The sequence below is a fragment of the Homo sapiens genome, chromosome 1, assembly GCF_000001405.40.
Source record: "Homo sapiens chromosome 1, GRCh38.p14 Primary Assembly".
Lineage (NCBI taxonomy): Eukaryota > Metazoa > Chordata > Mammalia > Primates > Hominidae > Homo > Homo sapiens.
Genome location: NC_000001.11, coordinates 192370846 through 192389175, shown reverse-complemented (window position 1 = coordinate 192389175; position 18330 = coordinate 192370846). Strand labels below are relative to the sequence as shown.

The 18330-nt window shown below is 33.7% G+C and overlaps 2 long non-coding RNA genes across 2 annotated transcripts in view; both read left to right on the top strand.

Moving 5' to 3' along the window:
* The first annotated feature begins 1370 nt into the window (after positions 1-1370).
* Positions 1371-8419, top strand: LOC124904472 (uncharacterized). The gene is made up of 2 exons (XR_007066774.1): positions 1371-1544; positions 8207-8419. It is a non-coding gene; the product is annotated as an uncharacterized LOC124904472 (long non-coding RNA).
* A 325-nt stretch (positions 8420-8744) lies between these two features.
* Positions 8745-18330, top strand: part of LOC124904473 (uncharacterized) — a 37073-nt gene continuing 27487 nt past the window's right edge. Inside the window, exon 1 of the long non-coding RNA XR_007066775.1 lies at positions 8745-8796. This is a non-coding gene — a long non-coding RNA (uncharacterized LOC124904473). The remainder of the gene's footprint in view (positions 8797-18330) is intronic.

The window sequence follows — 18330 nt, the reverse complement described above, 5'->3', positions numbered from 1 at the left end:
ATACTTTTTACAATAGCAGTTATAGCAAAGAATGCAGACATTGACTTCATAAAATATATATAAAGAAAATGAACAATGTCTGCTCTGCACCAAGTTTGGTGATAAAACAGTAGAGTTCTGAACTTATGACAACTATATGGAACAATGCTTTTGTCAATCATAAGTATGTTATTTTATTCTTTTAGTTTCAATTAAAAATTTATGAAAGCTATGAAATATATTGGCATTAAGTATATTTCAAACATGAGTAGCAATAAAAGAAGATGAAAAACAGGAAATGTTACCAAATTGTTTAACGTGTAGGAAGTTTTAGATCATGGTGAATATTTAATCTGAGTGCAGCCAAATTTTTTGCCATTAGAAGTAGCTTTATTCATTGTAACTCCCTTTTACAACAAGGTTATCATTTAAAAATAAAGGATTTTATTATCTATCAGAAATACACAAGAATTTGTGGAAGCTCAGGTTAAGGTCAGGGTTAAGGTTAGCTATAGAAGGTGGCACCCCGTATTTTGCTTTTTCCTGGTGATTTGGCATTTAAAAGGACAATTAAGCAATGTCTAAATCTTACTCTTTCATGCGTGAGGTATATATACAATGGGTTTCTCAAATTCAGATATGAAGCTCCCCATCCACCTCCTCCACACCTCTTCCCCTTCCACTCTCTGTGTTCTGGAAATAATATGGAAGAGACTCTGGCTCTTCATGAGAAAATTTTAATTATTATTTTTTACACTATTTCCTTTAAAAAATGTAAGCGCATTCTGAATTATCTGGATAATTATGTTGTAACTGCATATAGTTAGGCCTTTTGGAGCCCATATCTGTTTTATTGTTATTATTATTCATTTTGGACAGTGACTCAACATAAAATTTACCATCTTAACTGTTTTTAAGAATGCATATATGGTGTTAACTATATGCATATTGGTGTGCAACAGATCTCTTGAACTTTTTCATCCTGAAAAACTAAAAATCTATACCCATTGAAAAACTCCCCTCTGATGGTTGATTTTAGGCATCAGTTCTGCTGGATTAAGGGATACCCAGATAGCTGGTAAGGCGTTAATTGTTCTCAATGCTTTGATAGGAACTGAGCTCATCTCTTTTCTGCTGAAAGGCAGGCCCAGGTGATTTGTCTTTTGGTGAGTATGAAGGGCTGCCCCAGGTGTGTCTATGAAGGTGTTTCTGGAGGAGATTGGCAATGGGGAAAATCTGCCCTCAATGTGGGCGGGTACGATCTGTCTGGGGTCCAGGATGGAACAAAAAGGTGGAGAAAGGGCAAATTCTTGCTCTCTTTTCCAGAGCCAGAATGCTCTCTCCTGCTCTTGGATTTCAGAACTCCTGACTCTGTTCTTTAGATTCTGGGACTCACAGCAGTGGCCCACTCAGGCCCTTGAGACTTTGGCTTCGGACTAAGAGACCATTGGAATCTGTAGTTCTGAGGCCTTCAGACTTGACTTGGATTGAGCCACGCTTCTGGCCTCCCCGTTTCTCCGGCTTGCAGACGGCTCATCGTGGGACTTCCCTGTTTCCATAATTGGGTGAGCCAATTCCTCTAATAAATCCCTTTTCATATATCTCTCTCTACATATAACTTATTCATTCTGTCTTTCTGAAGAAGCCTGATTAAAACATCCCCCTTTCCAATTTCCTGCCAGCACTTCCTGGCAAGCACTGTTCTACTTTCTGTTTCTACGAGTTCGAGACTATTTCAGATACTTCATATAAGTAGAATCATACAGTACAGTCATATGCCACATAACTATGTTTTAATCAATGCCACACTCTAATCTTAAGGGACCATGTTTATATATATGCCATATATATATATATATATATATATATATATATATACTCTATGTATTTTTATGTATATGTATGTAAACCATGGTCCCTTAAGATTATAATGGAGCTAAAAATGAATGCCTAGTGATGTCATAGCTGTCATAATTTTACAGTACAATGCATTACTTATATGTTTGCAGTAATGCTGATGTAAATGAACCTACTGCACTGCCAGTCACATAAAATTATAGCACATATAATTAAGTACAGTGAATAATACTGGATAAAATTAATAAATGACTATGTTACTGGCATGTATTTACTACAATATACCTTTAATGTTATTGTAGAATGTACTCCTTCTACATATAAAAAAATTAACTGTAAAACAGTGGCAGACAGGTCCTTCAGGAGGTATTCCATAAAAAAAATTAACTGTAAAACAGTGGCAGACAGGTCCTTCAGTAGATATTCCAGAAGAGGGTACTGTTATCATGGGAGATGACAGCTCCATGCGTCTTATTGCCCCAGAAGACCTTCTAGTGGAGGTGGAAGACAAGGATATGGATGATCTTGACCCTGCATAGGCCTAGGCTAATGCATGTGTTTATGTCTCAGTTTTTAACAAAAAAGTTTAAATAAATAAATTCAAAAATAAAAAAATACTTATAGAATAAAGATACACAGAAAGACAGTGTTTTTGCACTGTTGTAAAATGTATTTGTGTTTTAACGTAAGTGTTATTACAAAGGAGTCAAAAAGTTTTAAAAAATTAAAAAAAGTTTATAAAATCAAAAAGCTACAGTAATCTGTTCTTATTGAAGGAAGAAAACTATTTTAAAATCAATTTAGTGTAACCTAAGTGTACAGTGATTATAAAGTCTACAGAATGTACAGTAATATCCTAGACCTTCACATTCACTCACTGATTCACACAGAGCAGCTTCCAGTCCTGCAAACTTCATTCATGGTAAGTGCCCTACACAGTTGTACCATTTTAAATCTTTCATACTGCATTTTTACTGCACTTGTCTATGTTTAGACACACAAATACTTACCATTGTATTACATTTGCCTACAGTATTCAGTACAGTAACATGTTGTACAGGTTTGTAGCCTAGGAGCAATATGCTGTGTCATTTTGCCTAGATGTGCACTAGGCTGTAGCACTGTGTTAGTGCATTTTCACGCTGCTGATAAAGACATTCCCAAGACTGGGCAATTTAAAAAAGAAAGAGGTTTAATGGACTTACAGTTCCATGTGGCTGGGGAGGCCTCACAATCATGATGGAAAGAGAAAGCTACTTCTCACATGGCAGCAGACAAGAGAAGAGAATTTGTGCAGGGAAACTCCCCTTTTTAAAAACCGTCGGATCTCGTGGGACTTCTTCACTATCATGAGAAAAGCATGGGAAAGACCTGCCCCCACAGTTCAATTACCTCCTACCAGGTACCTCTCACAACATATGGGAATTCAAGATGAGATTTGGGTGGGGATGCCAAACTGTATCAACCACATATAATAAGTTTGTGTAAGTACTTTCACATTGTTTGCACAAAGATTACACTGCCTAATGACACATTTCTCAGAACATATTTCCATTGGTATATGATGCATGACTGTATTTTTTCTTATGTGACTGGCTACCTCACTTCCTATCAGGATTTCTTCTTTTTAAAGGTTGAATAGTATTCTGTTTTATGGATAAACCACATCTTCTCTATCTATTCCTTTGTTGATGGGCATTTAGGTTTCTTTTACTTCTGGGATTTTATAAATATTGCTGCTATAATGCAATGAACATGGGTAACATGTAAATATCTGTTTGAGATCCCTTTTTCAATTGTTTTGGATACCTGCCTAAAAGTGAAATTACTGGATCATATGGCAATGTTATTTTTAAATTTTTGAGAAATCTTCACGCTGTTTTTCATAGGGGCTGCACCATTTTATATTCCCAACAAAAGTGCACAGAGGTTTCAATTTCTCCATGTCCTTAGCAACACTTATTATTTTCTGTTTTGTTTTGTTTTGTTTGACAGTGACCATCCTAACAGTTGTCAGGTTATATCTCATTTTGTTTTGACTCACACTTCTTTAATGTAAGGGAGGTTGAGCATCTTTTCATTTGCTTGTTTGCCCTTTGTATTTTTATTTTGGGAGAAATGTCTATTTTTGTTCTTTGCCCAGTTTTAAATTAGATTTTTTTTTCTGTTGCTGTTGAGTTGTAGGAATTTCTTCCATTTTTAAAGTTGCCTTTTCACTCTGTTGTTTCTTTTGCTGAGCAGAAGATTTTTTGATATACCCACTTGTATTTTTGCTTTTCTTGCCATATACAAGAAATTGCCAAATACAAAGTCTTGAAGTTTTTATCTATTCCGTTTTCTCTTTAGAGTTTTATAATTTCAGGTCTTGTGTTTAGGTCTTTAATGTATTTTGAGTTCACTTTTGTATATGGTGTGAGGTTAGGGTCCAACTTCATTCTTTTGCATGTGGATATCTGGTTTTCTCTACACAATTTGTTAAAGAGGCCGCACCCCTTTTTTCCCCCATCATAGCTTTTGTGTAGCCTTTTCGCCTTTGTTGGAGATCATTCGACCATATGAATCAGTTTATTTCTAGTATCTCTATTTGGTTTTGTGGGTCTATATACCTGTCTTTATATCAGTAGCATACTGTTTTGATTACTATAGTTTTATAATATGTTTTAAAATCAGGAAGTATGAGGCCTCAAGCTTTTCTTTTGTTTCTCAAGATTGTTTTGGTTATTCAGGGTCCTTTGGAATTCCATATGAATTTAATGATTTGTTTTTTATTCCTGCAAAATAATGGCATTGGGATTTTGATAGAGATTTCATTGAACCTGTAGATTACTTCAGATAGTATAAATTTTTTACAAATATTAAGTCTTCTAATCCATGAACATGAAATGGCTTTCCATTTATTTGTGTCTTTAATTTTCGAGGAGCGTTTTTTAGTTTTCTGTGTACAAGTCTTTTGCTTCCTTGGTTAAGCTTATTACTAGGTATTTTATTCTTTTTGATGCTATTATAAATAAAATTATTTCTTAATTTTCTTTTTGAATTGTTTGCTAGTGTATTAAAATCACACTAATTTTTGTGTATCAATTTTACATCTGACAACTTTATTGAATACTTTTATTAGTCCTAACAATTTTCTGTTTGGGGGGGTGGAATTTTTAAAAAATATATAAATAATATAATCTGCAAACAGAAATTTTGCTTCTTCCTTTCTTATTTAGATGACTTTAATTTATTTTTCTTCCCTAATTGTTCTGATTAGGATTTCTAGCACTTGATAAGTAGAAGTGATGAGAGTGGGCATCCTTTCCTTGTTGCTGACCTTAGAGGAAAAGCTTTCAGTTTTCACCATGAGTGTGGTGTTAGGCCCTTGGCTTTTGATACATAGCCTTTACTATGTTGAGGTAATTTCCTTCTGTTTCTTGTTTCATTAGTTTTCTTTTTCTTTTTTAATTATAAAAGGGTGCCGAATTTTGTCAAATGCTTTTTCTTCATCAATTGAGATGGCATGTGATTTTTACATTTCATTCGGCTAAAGTGTTGTATTACATTGATGGATTTTTATATGTTGAAACTTGCTTGCATTCCGGGAATAATTTCCACTTGGTCATGATATATAATCCTGTTAATATGCTGTTGCATTTGGTTTATTAGTATTTTACGGAAGATTTTTTACATCAATATTCATCAGGGATTTTGGTGTGTAGTTTTCCTGTAATATCTTTGTCTGGTTTTGGTACTATGGTATTGCTGGCCTCATAAGATGAGTTCAGAAGTGTTTAATTATCTTCACATTTTTGGAAGAGATTGAAAAGAATTGGTGTTAATTTGCCTTTAAAAGTTTGGAGGAATTCTCCAGTGAAGCCACCTGATCTTCGGATTTTCTTCCTTGGGGGTTTTTTGATTACTAATTCAATTTCATTAATTATAGGTCTTTTCAGACTTTTTATTTCTTCATGATTCACTCTTGGCAGGTTGTACATTTCTAGGAATTTACCCATTTCTTCTATGTTATCCAATTTGTTGGCATAAAATTGTTATTAGTATAATCATAGTAGTCTCCTATGAACTTTTTTATTTCTGTGACACTAGTCCTAATGTCTCTTCTTTCTGTTTTTATTTGAGTCTTTTGTCTTAGATTAGATAAGGGTTTTCTGATTTTATTAATCTTTTCAAAAAAGAATTGGTTTTCCTCTTTCATCAGTGTTTGAAGTCAAGTCAAGTGAGACAGAAAAGAGTCCTTTGGGAAGCCCCTTGAAGAGCCAGAATATTGGACATACATTCCACTTTTCTCCATCCCTCCTAAGGAGGAAACCGTGAGCTGGGTACTTTCTCCCAATCACAGTGGACTTTATCAGCTTCTGTCCACAGTATTACAAGTTCTGTAGTTCTCCCATGAGCCACTAGGCTCTCTTTTGTTGTCAGCGCTCCCTGGGCTTCTAAAGTAAATGAGTTTCCCATTGAGTTGGGCAAGACAGACACCAATCTTTTGGGCAGCTTTCTGAAAAGCCAGAATGTTGGATATACTTTCCATCTTCTCTTTCCCTCCATAGAGAGATGATGAAAGTTGGGATTTTCCTCTCATCCATAAACTGTGCTCTCTTGGGGGACAGGCTGATGCAATTAAAATTAAGTCACTTTTTTTTTACCTACTTCAATGTGATTAGCCTTGGGTTTGGACTTGCCTTGGATATTACGAGGTCTTAATGGGTTTCTGAAGTTCTTAGAAAGGCTTTTCAGACTGTATATTATTGTTAAGTCTTGTTTCTATGGGTTAACAAGGCTCAGGGTTTCCTATTCTGCCATCTTGCTGATTTCACCTTCCCATATCTGGTTTTGTACTTAAGATCAAAATGGTTCCAAAGTAGAAGGTCTACAATCCCTTATCTGAAACCCCTAGGGCCAGATATTTTCCATAGCTTTAGATTTGAGAAAGGTAACATAGTACATACACTGAAAAGTATATAATTTCCCAAGGGAGGATGGGGAATCACTGAAATCAGTAGAAATAAACTTGAATCAAATCAAATTTCTACAATAACATATGTGGCTATTCAAGTAAGTGGGAAATAATGACTATAAATATACTCTTGTTAGATTGTATCAGGATTTTTTTAAATAAAAATCATTTGGATTTCAAATCATTTTGAGGTAAAGAGTGAGGATAAGTAATTGTAAACTAGTAGTGCTTTATTTTCATTGACAAATATGGCAATAATACAGTGTCCTTAATATATAAATGATATGTACATGCAGAGGTGGTGGTAATGATTTAGTGGATGTGGTTATTGATTTATTGCCTCTTAGCTCAAAATTCACCCTTTTTATCTTATTTGTGAAAATGGACCTGAGCTTTTTAGATATTTTTCCTTTGGTAGCTGGCTCTAAAGATTTGCAAATAAAGGGTGTACAGCAACTTCAGTGCCTGGATCATTGAGCACATGGCAGCTAGCAGCTTTCCCTTGATACCACCTTAGGCAGTCCTGTAGCAGAGTGTCTCTGGTCAAATGTCTCTCCATGAGTAGATTTACCTGGCATTACAAAGAATTTGTTTCTGGCAAGTTCTGCTGGTACAGTACTACAGTGATTGCTTTGTCATAAAATGAGCCACTGTTCTAGGTTCTAAATGTCGTTCCTGTGGGAACTCTCAGGAGTTCTGTCTCAACTCTAGAGGTAAGAATAGTTGCACCTTGTATTTGTTAATTTTGGATTTTTAAAGTTCTCTTTACATCTAACTAATAAATATGTTTTTACTCCAATCCAATAGTTAGTAATTCTTTATATTAAATATTTCCTGTCCAAATTGTTCAGTTTCTCGCTCCTGATCAGACTCAGACTGATATAGTAGTCTCTTCATACAAATGTTTAGCCATAGTTCAAATAGAGAAAGCTAGCAGAAAAATAGGAATTATCTATTGGATATACTAAAGTCAAAAGAGATATTACCATAGCTGCCAAAAGCACATTCACATTCTGAATTGTAATTTGACAACAGCAGACTAACTTTTTTTTTAATCATGATAAGTTAGTGATGTTAATTTAAGTTTACCTAATTTTAATATAGTTAAAATTTGGAGGGAGGTTATTTAGTATTATGGGAATTATAAAAAACAGGAATTTATTCAGGTAACATTAAAATGAAAATAATATATCCATATTGGTTATACATTCACATATTTTTCCAATTAAAATAGGTTTTTACCCATTATGAGTTAAATTCTATATCCTTCCAAACTGGTAAGTTGAGGTCCTAGCCCTCTAGGACTTCAGGATGTGAACTTATTTGGAAATAGTATTGTTGCAGATGTAACTAGTTAAGATAAAGTCATAAAAGTGGGAGGCCCCTAATGCAATATGACTTATGTTTTTATGAAAGGAGAGAATTTGGACACAGGCATGCATACGGGGAGAACATCGTGCATACAGGGAGAACATCATGCATATGTGAAGACAGCCATTTACCAGTCGGGGAAAGTAGCCTGGAACAGAGTTTCTCTTCGGAGCACTCAGAGGCAACCCTGTCAATATCTCGATTTCAGACTTCTGGCCTCTAAAACTCTGAGACAATAAATTTCTGTTGTTTAAGCCACCCAATTTGTGACACTTTGTTCCAGCAGCCCTAGAAAACTAATACAATATCTGATGAAGTTATAAAAAATATATAGTTTTATTCTCTTCTGCAACTTTGCTCAATATTCTTAAAGCTTTTATACACAATTAATTACTTAGCTGAAAAAAATTTAATGTATATCTATTTATAAACTTCATTTTCTTTCCTAACTGTTCCAAGAATTTACTTGCAATATTATTTATTGAACTAACTAGAGCTTGAAAGTATCAATTTAAAATAATCTTTATGATGTCACTTTTTTTTTTCTGCCCCCTTTTCTCTGTTTTCATGTTCATGTAATTTTAGAGAATAAAAAACCTTAGGAGCAAATTGACCATCATACAGAAACTGTTAAGGTATAGTATATATAAATGTGATATATAATTAGACTGTAATGACACTTGAATCATAAAGCATGTAAGGTAGAATGCATTGCATTCTTTATAATCATAATTAGTATAGTACTTACATAATATGCCTTTCTCTTTTTGGTCTTTTCCTTTTTTCATGCTTCCTACATGTCAAGGCATTGATGCTTCTTTCTCTATCACTTTTTTTTGGTATTACTCTTATGTAAATATATTTTTCCTGTCTCAATTGACATACATTTTTTTTTCTTGAAAGATGGTAATTATTTAATTACATTTTAGTAATTTTTTTGCCCATCATTTGTGTTCTTAGAGGTAAAGCAAAATGGAAGTCAAGAAATCAGTAATACCACCAGAAAGAAGAAAATTAGCCTCCGGATTCAATCTTTTCCTATAAATCATATTTGTTTGTTTCTATGACTAATGAATGCAGTATGGAAATTATTCACACTTCAGCAGCAACCTGGATAAAAACCCATTTTCAGAATGCTTTGAATAAGAATAAAATTCAGCATTCATTTATTTTAAATGCAAATAGTGGAATCTGAGTAGGATAAGAGTGTCAGAATGGAAGGGCGTGTTTTCAGGCATTGCAGAAAGCTGTCATGGTGACTAGGAGGCATAGCAACTTAATTATAAAAATAAATCTAAAAGAGTGAGTCAGGCACAGGTTTGCGATTTTACTCCTGTCAATGTTAGATGGAGACTATATCCTGAAAATCTCAGTTATCAGGTTCCTGAGAAAAGCATTAGAACAGGATAACAGAAAACCATACTTTTACAAAGATGGAGATATAAAATATATTTATCTGCAGGTTATTTGAGATTCCAGCAACTATTTCTGGAACATTTTCTAAATTACAGTCAAGGAGTAATGTCTTAACTGTGAAACAAAGAAAATAGATAATATGTACTTATTTGTATTATATCACATATCTTGGGTTTTATAATGATAATTTTACACTCATCTTTTCCCACGAGTGTATTTTTCTCTAGCATTTCTCTTGATTATCATAAACTTAAATAAGTAACAAAAACTAGGGCATATATTGAAATTCAGGGCAGAACATTAATTGGAAATCAATCCTAAACAATATGGCATCATTCTAAAGGTACAATATGTCCTCTCTCAGCTTGAGTGTATTAGGGTAAAGTATTACTGAGATTAGTTTGAGAAGTGTGGGGTTGAAACCCTGCTCTGGGCAAAGAAGTCCCTGTAGCCACTGCTGTGAGTTCTGTAGGGGCCAGACCCCAAGGCCCTGGTGTGCAGCAATTAAACTTAATTGGCTAGCTGGACTTCTTTGGGGGATTGTGGAGGAGCCTAATTAGCAGCAAGCAGTTGATTTTCCACCAAGGTGCTCTTTCACTTCCTCCCACATTTAGATATTGAACTGGTTGAAAGTTTAGAGGTGAATTTTCCCTCTAATGGTATGAATTTTGATGTGGAATGATCAGGTAGGAGGTTACTCTCTCCATGATGGAAACATTCATTCTAATTCTGTAACACATATGCAGTTATCTGGCGATTACCTGGAGAGTTTCATGTGTTTAGTTTGTGAAAAGTGGTTTTGTGAGTTGTTTCCCTACTCATGACTCCACCCTTCTAGAGAACAGGACCAAGGAAATAGGCAAGAGAGAGGCTACTTGATATATTTAAGGAACTGGTTACAGACATTTAGTCAAACTTTGATTTTTTTAAATTTAATGTCAACCATGTTTGTAAGCACTTTTAGAGTTTGTGACCAACTTATATATAGTTTACAGGAAGCAAACAGACACTTCCAGCTTCAGTTTGTTGTGTTTTCTGCTTCCAGATTAGACATTACAGGAGTATTTAAAATGTGTTTACTGAATATGAAGCACTGTCAAACTGCTTTGTGAAAGAAATGTTTCATGCCCTGGAGGAGCTTATCACTCATGTAGAAAGAATGTCAAAGAAATAGAATATTTTGGTCAATAGAATTTTAGATGAACATTTTATTTAACATCTGGAAGCAGAAGTTTTCTTCTTTTCCAAGGCATTTCAACACTACATACATTTATCTTTCTAAAAGAAAATTTTGATTTTGTTATTCTGTTGCTCAAACTCAACTCCTTCAAAGCTTGCTCCTTACCCTGTACACAGAATGTTAGATGTTTTTTGGAAAGCTTTATCTGAACCCTCCATCCCTGCCTAAGAACTTGATATATTCTTCCTTGAACCTTGCCCTTGTCTTTTCATAGCAAATGTGTCCTGGCCTTGTTTAATTTTCTCTGTTACTTAACTGTACTTTCCAAAGAAGCAGATATCCTACCTATCCTATGCATTTTTGTATTCCTAGAAACAAACTCACTGTGTGCCTCATCAAGTATTTAAAAAAGATTTCTGGAGTATATGTATATTAATACCTCTAACTGGTAGCACATCAGCAGGCAACAAAGCAAAACCAAAAAGAAAAGTTCTATTTCTCTTTTGTGTGGACACCTACAATCTTGATTTGTTATGTGTAGCTTGTAGAGGGGAGTGGTAGAATATCTAGGCACACCATATCTCCACATTCAGATTCAGCCATAGTAATAAGGAGATCAATGAATGCCAACAGATAAAACTAAATCATTTATTTAAATGTGGAGCTGGCTGGGCATCTCTCCTTTCTTTCCCCATATCTTTGCTTCCAAAGGTATGGAGGAAAGAAAGGAGAGATCACTATGAGTTTCCCCCATTCCTTTTCATGCCCTATCACTCTGTCTGGTAGGTTTTTAGGACCAGTTAAAGCATAACTTTTCCCTCATGTTTCATTTGAGGCTCTTCTATTCCAAACAAACACATAGGCACACACACCCAATCTTTCTCTCTTAAACTTCCCACTCCCCCACTTCATCAATACACATACCCACAGGGCTCTCTATCAGTGAATCCCTGTAATAATTTCCCTATAACGTGATCAGTGAAAGTAATACATTATTTAATCCATTGAAATAAGTTTCTACCTCTTATTTACTTTTCTATCCTTCACAGTTAGGAAACAACCTAACGGTTAGTTATTTCCTAGACTGCTTAATGGTTGAAAGGACCATTTAGATGATTGAGTAAATGGATGAGTGGATGGATGGATACATGTAGAGACTGGAGCAGTAACTCTTTTTTTCATTCATTGTCTGTCAACTTGGATTATTCTCACATTCAAACAACATATTAGGTAGGTGAGAGTAAAAACTCTGCAGGAAGAAAATAATAGCAAAATAAGCAGCAAAATAAAATACACAAAAAAACTTATTGCAAGTACTCATCCTCAATCTTAGATGTTATACATCAACGTATCAATTTACTTAAGACATTTTTGTATTTTGTGGAGATTTTTGTTGGTGTTAGAGTACAGATAGTATAAATTTTAAAATTTTAACACCAAAAAATAAAACTAATTTTAATCTGTTTTGATTATAGTTTTTCTTAAAACTTCTTACTGAAGTATATTTAGTGCATGCATAAATTATATCTGTGTACTGGATAGATCAGCAAATTGATAGGCAGCTGTCTTGTGCCACTTACAGAGGAAAAGGTATTTAATTATTTTCAAAATTTGTATAATACTAGAATTTTGTATCATCCTCAATATACACAAAATGATTTAAACAAAGGGAATTATGGCTTTGTTATACCACAGCAAACGGCTCTCAGGAATACAGCAACACAGTAAATTAAGCTGACTTTGAAGTGGGCAACCTTGCTCATCTGCAATGTTGCATAACTACGATATGGAACCACAAGTAGTGTGATACAACTAAAACTATGTATGGTAAATTTAGGATTTACAATGATGACTTCTTGTTAGAAGACAGCAAACAGTAGATTTGAGAGCAGTAAAGTTTCAGTTGAGTCATCACACTCCTGACACTTATTTTAAATGCAATCTGTTTAGCCCAAAGTATTACCAACTTTAGAAAATACACGCCTCTTTCCCAGGGCATTTCTCTTAACCATTTGTAGGCAGTCTGTTGAAGAGCTTTCAAAGAGAAAAATCTGATCTCATACAAAATAATGTACTTTAATATCTTTTCATAGAGAGTATCTTCTCTAACAAAAGTTGACTATTACCTTTTCTCTATCGATTATTACCTCCTGCTCTCAGGGAATGGCTTCCTGCAAGGTCAAATGTGCCTCTATAGTAACAATTCACACAACAAAATGTCTGAGGATTCTCTCCATGTTCCTTGAAATAAGACTAGTTATTTTCTACTCTTTGGGTGGTCGTTAGGACACAGTTCTTTACAGGCTTTTCACATCTTTGCCCATTTTGCAAGCAGAGGCACTGACTGCTTTCGTTTTGGTGCAATTTTTCGAGAATATTTGTATAGCGAACAACCTTGGAAGGAGGCATAGTGTCTTTCTCCAGAGCAGAAGATAGGCATGTTTACTGCCCACTATAAAAGATTCAGGTACTCTAAGCTTAGATTTTCTCTTTTGAAATGCAAGCTGCAGAGTTTACAAGTATCACCTGGCCCTCTGAGCATCACCCTGTGGAAACTGGGGCTTGAGGTTGCTGATTCTCTGGTTACTATTATTAGTAATACATATTACTAATAGTAATGTATATTACTATTGCTGTGAACTATAACATCTTTTTTCCAGTTCTAGGAGTCTGTATCTTCTGCTAGTATTCATGAAATCGTAGAAGGCTAACTTGTTAGCTTGAAAATAGGGTAATATATCATTCACAGTAATGAAGAATAGTAAGGTAAGATATATTAAGCACTGAGACGTAGAATTAATTATGCTTTGGTTTTAACACATACTTGTAACATATGTTCACTAACGTCTGAGTTGTTATATGGAAGTTTAGAATACTACTAGGAAGAAATGCTTCATTATAATATAGTATGTGCATTTATTCAGTGTTATAGCAAGGGTAAAATTATATTTACATAATGTATTGCATAGCTCTTGAAAGCCAGTACACTGCCTCTTTTTGTCAAAAAGTTGGTACTTAGAATTCTAAGTTTAACATTTTAATCTTGAGAGGAAAGTAATCTTAAATTAAGCATTTTGCATTAAAAATTTTTCAGATACTTCCTACATAAAGTTCTTCAATTACTTCCTTATATTTCATGTTCCTAAGAAATCATATTTTTCCTAAGCATCTATATGAAATACTCATACTTAATAAAATTTTTTTCAATTCAAATATGATTATATATTAGACGTTAGATCATTTATATATGTTTAATTAGTGCTATATTATTTCAAATTCATGAAATATTAAAAATTATAAGTTTGAGATTATTCTTTTAAAACTATTCTGAGGCTTAATTTGAACAACGATTTTAGATAACTCAAATACAGTTTTATAATGCATGTATTTCATAAAATAAAAAAATTAAATACCTAAAGATTTAAATATCTTATTTCATATTATAGATTTAATAAAGTAATTCAGCATAATCATATTGTTATTATATATTCAGAATTTTGAACTACCTGAGAAACACAAATGCAGTGGGATATAATAGTATTCTTCTTATGCAAATTTAGTACATTTTAATGTTAATTTATAATAGTTAGTGTCTGATAATTATAATGTTAATAGTGAGAAATGTGTTTGAAATTAATGAGTTATGTGTATTTCATAGGTTTTCTTTTTTCAATGCCCTGCCTTTGATAGATTAACCTGGATGTGTTATCAGGGACTAGCTATTTTTATTGTGGGAAAATGAAATTTTACTCTGAAGAATCAGTAGTTTAGTAGATTTTACTCTCAAAAAAATGCATGCATTGTGCTTTTTTCTCCCTTGATTCATCTCTGGTTTTTGTTTCCACTACTCTTTTCATATTTACTTCTTCATTTTCCTTTACTCTTCATTCCAGGTTTCTTTGCTTTTTCCTTTTAGCTTTTTACTCTTAGACATTGACTTCTTAAAGAACAGCTTCTGATTGCAACTACCCAACATCACAGTGAAAAACAATAGCAACTGGACTCCTTACTAAATATCTTTTTTTGTATAATGTAAAAGGAATAAGAAAGTGAAATAAATTCTTTGAAATATAGTTCACCAAAACTGTATGTTTGTGAATGTGCTTGTGTGTGTGCATCAATGTGATTACAAGAAATGACAGAGTAAGCTGTTTAAAGTCAAACTCACGTCCCAGCTATGCAGCTTGCTTTGGGACATTTAGCTACTTAACTCTTTTTTCACTTTGCTTTCTCATTTGTAAATTAACAAATTATCCAAAATTTGGAAATAAAGCAAGGGAAAACTGATTTTTTTTCAGTGTCACAATAAAACATTGTGCCACAGACTCACTCAGGGATTATTTTATTGGCTAGGGTAGGTGGTTGGCGAATTTTAACCCACAGGTGAAATCCAGCCCAAATCCCATGCTTGTTCATTCTTTGAGCTAAAAATAGATTTTGCATTTTAAAGAAGTTGTTAAAAAAGATAAAGAAACAAAGACAAATATGTGACAGAGACTTGAAGTACCTCACAAATATTAAAACATTTACTATCTGAGCCTTTACAGAAAACATTTGTCTACCCCTGCTCTAAAGGAATGAAGCATTGTTTGATTTAACTATGTACTGTTGATCAGGATTCAGACTCAGTGAAAGTAGATGATAACCAGTAGATTAATAAATTACAAATGATTTTTGTCTCCTGGTGAGGCAATGATTTCTGTCTGCTTTAAAAAAAAAAAAAAACAACCCAGCCAGGGACTGTGGCTCACGCCTGTAATCCCAACACTTTGGGAAGCCGAGGCAGGCGGAACACCTGAGGTCAGGAGTTCGAGACCAACCTGATGAAAACCAGTCTCTTCTAAAAGTACAAAATTTAGCTGGGTGTGGTGGCAAGCACCTTTAGGTCCCAGCTACTTGGTACGTTGAGGTAGGAGAATCACTTGAACCCAGGAGGCAGAGGTTGCAGTGAGCTGAGATCTCGCCATTGCACTCCAGCCTGGGAGTCAGAGACTCCATCTAAAAACAAAAAACAAAAAACAAAAACAAAAACAAAACAAACAAACAAAAAAACCCTAAAAGACATAATGGTATTACTCTTTAAGACATTAACCATTTTCATATATCACTTTTTAATAATATTTCAGCATCTTTTTAATTGGCCATAACTTCTTCAGTCTGATTCTCTTTTGAAAAAGCTTTACTATCCTGCTGGTTTCCTCATTAATTAAGAAAATAATCTTTTTGACATGTCTTTATTTTATATTTGTATCTGAATCATCTTTTTAACTTTTAGATATTTAAACATCAACAATAAATGGGCAGTCTACCACTTTCCTATTTAGCTATCAGCTCTTTCAGGATTTTAATACAACATGGTCTTAGACAGTAAGTGGACTTTATTTGCTCAGTCTAGATGAGCAAATTATTTATCAGTCTAGATGTTCTTTTAGAAGAACTCCAATTAAGAGCCTCTCAGGGTTATTCCATTCTCTCCAGATTTTTCAAAGACCATTTTTTAGACTAGTTTTAGGTTCACAGCAAAATTAACAAGTACAGAGATTTCTTGCATCTGTCCTCACACATGCATAACTTCTGCATTATCGGCATCCCCAACAGAGTAGTATATTTGTTACAATTAATGAACCTATATGGACACATCATTATCATCTAGAGTCTAGATTTTACATTATGATTCTCCATCTTTTTAATGATCATGTTTGTGGAATAGTGAATTCTTATTGCTAGTGCTCATCTGCTGATACCAGTAGAGTTGTAGGTTTATCAACGACAGTCATGTTTCTCTTTTTCCTCAAGCTTCTTTATGCAAATTTTAATTATTGTTGTTTCATGATTTAATTAAACAATATACAATGAGATGAAATCAGTGCAGGGGGAGATTTAATTCAATGAGGTTGAAATTGAATGCTTTGCTATGTCTTTGTTAAAGACATAACAAAGGTGAAATGCTAAATAATTGCCATGCAATTAAGTGTGGGTGAAGCAATACCAAGAGATTGGTGTGTTTGGCTGTGACCAGGCCTCTACTTGGAAGCATCTAATTTTGAAAACACATGTGCTGCATATAAAGCAAAAGTTTGCCTATCAAATGGATAGTTTTGGAAACATAAAATAAGTCATGCTATTTTGCCTCTATTTTTTATTGTTTAAACAATATCAAAATGGAAATATCAATACAGATGAATCTGTACAAATAAAATGGAAACACGGAAGATCTGCTGAATCTTCACAGCTTCTCATATTGACATGAAATTTTTTCCTATTTATCAAAGGATATTTATTTATAGAAAGAAACAATTTTAGAAGCATTTCAAAATAAATGTTTTTTAAATAAAATTTGTTCGCGTTTCATAAATAGGTTCCAGTGATGAATGAGTACATAAATAATTGAATAGACAATGTTGCTGATTGGGGTTAATTAGTTTAAAAGCCCATTCCCAGGGAGATTCTTCTCTCCTTAATCAACGCAAAGATCCAGGGTGCACTTAGTAAGGCATTCGGAAGGCATGGGGGAGAAGGTGTACCTTTTGCTCTAAATAGCTGAACTCTTCTCCTTTCTCAAGTAAAGAATTCAGGCAACTACTGTAAGATTCTGAGTGCTGACTCCACAACTAGACTGGGGTTTCATATGCTTTTTGCATGCTTTGCCCATGCTTTCTCCTTCTCTTCTTTGCATTTGTTTTCACACATCAATTTACAATTTCTCTTTGTGAAGTCTCAATTGACTCTGGTTTAACTAGTCTATGTCTTTACAATTATACATTGATACATAGTGATATGAATTACCAATATTTATATCCATGTACACTATCCTGCAATTAACATTTATGCTGTAGTTTAGTTGTATATTTTATGTGAAAATAGAATTACTTTTCTTCTGTGAAAATACTTTGAACTATGAGCTGTTATCCAAATACTGTCTTTTCAGCTTACTGTACACTTTTGAAAGACTTATAAAAATCTTTTTTTGTCTTTCCACATTGCCTACCTCAGAAGTGTTAATTCAATGAGAAATTCTTACAACTCAACTAGTCAGGCAGTAGTTATTAAATGCTTAGGCATTTATAGTCATAGTCCTTCAAACTTGAGTTAAGAAGTGTCCATTCACATGTCAGGGCTAATGACTGCATTTTAATCGTGGAATAAGAAGTATGTTTTACTTATATTTAGCCTATTTTTTAAAGTTATTGATTTAGAAAATAGATCTTCTGATTTGATTAACGCTGATTTCATTTTATGTTTTTCTGAGGCTTTAATCCTTTTTGAAATGGAGATATTATGAAATGCAACTTATATAGACTTAAAAATAGCCAGGTGATATATGCCATTAACACTTTCAAAAAACAGAAATTTAAATAGAAACAGAGTTCATTAAGTAAATATATGTGTATATTCATATATGCATGTAACCTTAGATTTTTCAACAAAGTTCTAAATTTACTTTAAGCTACTATGTAATAATACTATTTAATTTCCACTGGCTTCTACCACTTAAAAGCCATTTTCCCAGATGCAGTTTCTATATTATTTAGTTTAAAACACAGTTAAGACTCATGGATTGAAATTTCAACCA